At 36.1% G+C, this 4,838-nt stretch overlaps 1 annotated feature.

Annotated features, from left to right (window-relative positions):
- Positions 3,942-4,142: a silencer, noted in NCBI's record as "peak6119 fragment used in MPRA reporter construct". NCBI's record gives its function as "represses an SCP1 promoter by STARR-seq MPRAs in K562 erythroleukemia cells {active_cell/tissue: K562}" and the evidence as "EXISTENCE:reporter gene assay evidence [ECO:0000049][PMID:32103011]".

The raw sequence follows: 4,838 nt of genomic DNA, 5'->3' as shown, positions 1-4,838 counted from the left end.
AAAAGACAACATAGCTCTTTACTTTCCAAATTCCTAGTCTTCCCTTTATATACTTTGGATGCAGGTATTTTTCTGATGATGGTGATATGGTTTGGCTGTGTCCCCACCTAAATCTCATCTTGAATTCCCACTTGTTAAGGGAGGGGCCAGGTGGGAGGTAATTGAATCATGGGGTCAAGTGTTTTCCATGCTGTTCTTGTGATAGTGATGAGTCTCACGAGATCTGATAGTTTTAAAAAGGGGAGTTTCCCTCCACAAGCTCTCTCTCTTTGCCTGTTTCCATCCATGTAAGATGTGACTTTTGCTCCTCCTTGGCTTCCACCGTGATCATGAGGCCTCCCCAGCCACATGGAACTGTAAGTCCACTAACCCTCTTTCTTTTGTAAATTTCCCAGTCTAGGGTATGTCTTTATCAGCAGTGTGGAAACGGACTAATAAAGATGGTAAGACTGATATACCTTCCAAAAAGTTTTACAGAGATGTGTATATTGGCCCTGCTTTAGAATGAGTGGGTTCCTACCATTTATAGTTTATAACTTTGATAATTGTATTGGTAATTTAGCCAAAATTATGTAAAATCAAGAAAGGTCCAGTTTATCTGTGGAGGACATTGGCTAATTTAACCTTTTTCTTTAATCTTCTCATTTTTTAAAAAAGGAACAGCAGTAGTACCTATGGTTGTTGTGAAGCTTAAACGAAGTAATCCATGCAAAACCCATAGCTGTTTAGCACAGTTTTTACAACATAGTAAGAATTCAATCAGTGTTAGCTACCATTATATAATATGGTACATTTATTTAACCAAACATAACTTTTGATAAATATACATATATATTAATTCATCTAGTTAACATAGATTTACAAAACACTTAACTGTTGTAACAACTTTGGGAGGAGTAATGAATTTAAAGAGATAGTTCCTTGAAGCTTATATTTTAGAGGAGAGAGTCAACTAGTAAACCATAATGTAAGAATATAATATATCAGACAAAGACACATGCTATGGAGAAAAATAAAGCAGGGAGGGTAGGTCAAAAGTTTGGAGATGTGCTGCTATTTTAAGTGATGGAAGAACTCACTGATGAGGTGACATTTGAGCAGAGATGGGAGGTAGAGAATATTATTCAGCGTGTCAGCAGAAAATGTGTTCATTAAATTCAGTAGTACAGCCTTCAAAAGTTAAGTACTATTTGTAACTCAAACAGGTAACTAAGCCTTATACTGAATGAAGAAAAATTATCTTAAGTTGGGTAAATTAATTCAGTTTTTCAGATGGTTTATACTATATACATAAGTTAACACATAACATAACAATACATAACATAATTTTCTTGCTTCTTAGCATGCTTTGTGATATTTTGTTGAAAGTCAAATATGAAGTAATAGAAACTGAGGGAAATAGGACTTTAATGTGAGGCTCTCTGTTAATCTGGCTAGGAGTCGAGCTGTGTTTAATGTTTGCTATAGTTGTAGGTGCCACACCTTTAGATTCCTCCCGTGTCCTTGTTTTTATATTTCTATTGTTTCTGAGCCTCCCTAAGAACGCTTCCTTAGATAGGAGCCGCACATTGCAGCTCTTTGTTCTGTAATCTCTTGTGATCATACTGAAGTTCTGTTGGTGTGGCAGTAAGGTGTGAGCGAGGGGAGGTGGACTATAATCTTATGATTAAATCTCAGTTTTTCAGACTGTGTCCCTGGGCTTTGACCTTCACAAATGTTTCCTGGCTTTCTTCTTTTCCACTGATGTGGAACAAGAAGACTAGAAGGAGCTAAAGTCAGATAAATTCCCTTCCTCTTAACTGGGATAAGGCTCTGGGAAAGTCTTTCCCCTTGGTGGGGAGTATGTCTTTGTTAAAAAGAATACCCTAAGTGTATTTCTAATGGTTACATTTCTTCCTCCCCATATCAGAACCAGGATGGGATATTTTTTGGCTCTTCACTGTAGAAACCCGATAAGGTTTCTGGAGGTAAAACCCATTAAACTACAGGGGCAAGATCTTAGTTGTAAAGTAATTATTAATTAAAGTATAGTTTACATACAGATATTTAGAAATCATAAATGTATAGGTCAATAAATTTTCATGAAGAGAGAAAAAAAAAAAAAAAAAAACATGTAACGAGCAACCTGATGAAAAAGTAGAATGTTGGTAAAAATCCCAGAACTTCATTCATGAGCACTTCTAGTCATTACCCTCTCCAAGGTAACTATTATCCTAATTTCTAACAGCATAGCTTACTTTTGCCTGTTTTGAGCTTTATATAAATAAAATCAAATAAGAGAAATTCCTTTTTTGTTGGCTACTTTCAATCAACATAATTTTGGTGAAGGTAAGCTGTGCTATTGCATCTTGAAGTAGTTCATTCCTCCTCATTACTGCATAGGATTTCATTGGATAAATATAATGTAATTTGTCCATTCTATTGTGATGAACATTTGGACCATTTCTTGTTTTTTGTCTATTAAGAATAGTATTGCTCAAAAAATTAGCAGGGCGTGGTGGCAGGCCCTTGTAGTCCCAGCTACTCGGGAAGCTGAGGCAGGAGAATGGCATGAACCCAGGAGGCGGAGCTTGCAGTGAGCCGAGAGCACGCCACTGCACTCCAGCCTGGGCGACAGAGCGAGACTCCATCTCAAAAAAAAAAAAAATAATAATAATATTGCTATGCACTAGAGTACATGTCTTTTCATAAGCATATGTAGTCGTTTCTGCTAAAGGTTACGCTGAGTATATACCTAGGTGTGGAATATACATGTTTGCCATTAGTAAATAATGAGGGCCAAACAGATTTGCAAAGTGGCTGTAATACTTCAAACACCCCTGAGCAGCATATGAATTTTAATCACCCTGCGCACTCAACAATACTTGGTATTGTGTCTTTTTCAGTTTAGCCATTGTGGTGTGGAAAAAGCAGTCAATACAATTAAAAACTTATCTGTTTTTAAGAAGAAAATAAACAGCTGTAAATGTGCTTTAACCAGGAGGCTATGGGGTTAAAAACAAAAAACAAAAAACAAAAAAACCAAAACCCAAAAAACATGAGAGTTAGTTGCCTTAGGATCACAACACTCACAGAAATAGTGAGTCAGCAAAATGAAATCTGTTAATTATAAGTGTTAGTTCTGGGCAGTCCTGAACTCCAAATTTTGTCTCTCTAGCACTTTCATCTTTTCAAAAGTGTTTTAGGTTCTCTGCCTCCTCCCAGTTGGCCTCTCGTTGTGCTCTAAAATTTGGCAAATGCCCTGAAGGAAATATCTGTTTTCCTTCTTTTCAGTATCTCAGATCCTCAAGTTCTATGTGTCTTAGTAATTCTCCAGAGCCTTCAAAAAGTATGTTACTTATTTATTTAATCCAGACGATTCTAGTTTTTCTGAGTGGAAGAACTGGTTTGCCCTAAGCTAAGCTATCACACAGCTTGTGTATGTGACAGAAGTGAACACGGAAGTCTTATTTGATGAGCTTTTATTTATTTTTTCCTAGGACAACTTACAATGGCTTTTCTGAAAGAAAGAGGTTACTATGATCTTGTTTGCTTTGTTTTTTAGAGAAAAAATTCTAGCCATAATAATCTCCAAAGATTATATTTCCTCTAAAGTAGAATCAATATAGAATTAAGGTATTCTGAGATGTGTAGATTTCCCACTCTAAATAAAGTATGATGAATTCATACTTACAGCTTTCGGTATAACCCATTCTCAGAAGAGTTAAGGACCGCACTTATAATCCACAGTATACATCAAACACTCTGAGTCCATCTACGATTTAGTAGAAAGGCAGATGGATAAATACGTTGACATTGTTTTGCCATCCACAAACATATCACTAAATGTATTTCTGAAAGTGTTGAAAAGAGAAGAGCATACTGTAATTTTATGAATTGTAACTACTGTATTTGTGTTGAGAGCTGATGGGGGAAAAGAAGAAAATAAACAGCTGTAAATGTGCTTTAACCAGGAGGCTGTGGGGTTAAAAAAAAAAAAAAAAAAAAGCAAAACCCCAAAAAACATGAGAGTTAGTTGCCTTAGGATCACAACACTCACAGAAATAGTGAGTCAGCAAAATGAAAACAAGATGACTCATCAGGAGGAAGGAAATAATGAACAGATATAGGATTTTTTTGTTTTTCTAGTTTTACATTTTTCCAAATACTTTGGAATTTAAACAAATAAAATCTACTCAAAGGGTAAAGATATCTTCTATATTTCTTTAAAAAGTCAAATATCACACATTGCTATTCTAAGTTCCTGTCTCTAACCATAATTAGCAGTTGCTGAAAATTTAAAACATGCTATGCTAAAACATAAAATAATCTATAGGATTCACAATTTAAGAAAAAAAAAGGATCTGGTACTGCAAAAGAACTTGTAGGGGTTTTGTCCTTTTTTCCTTGATCAAAATGTTACATATAGGAGACATTCATTATCAGTGGTCCATAGGAGAATTATATATTGTTCTCCTCTCTTGACCTTGGCAATACTCCTTTTTTTGCCCTTCATAAAAAAGTAACTCTGCTCCTTATGGAATAAATATTTAATGCTACTATTTATTTTTCTGTGCCTGCATCATTGGGTGAGGAGTATCTATTACACATGGGGATGTGATTAAAGCTTAATGGTCTAGCAGGTGCCTACCCTCGTCAAGAACTCTCTTTATGTGCCCAGGAATCTTTTTATGTAGCCATCCTGTGCACCCCCAGATCTCAGAGCTGGTACTAACACCCAAGTGCATATTCTGAAGTTGGGAAATGACCTGCACCCACCACACTGTCAGTTTCTGAGGCGCTCTGGCACTTTCTAGGTCACTAGGCCTGAGAATTGGTGTCAGAAACAGAGGGAAGGC

Source organism: Homo sapiens, chromosome 6 (genome assembly GCF_000001405.40).
Source record: "Homo sapiens chromosome 6, GRCh38.p14 Primary Assembly".
Classification (NCBI taxonomy): Eukaryota; Metazoa; Chordata; class Mammalia; order Primates; family Hominidae; genus Homo; species Homo sapiens.
This window is presented reverse-complemented; position numbering and strand designations above follow the sequence as displayed.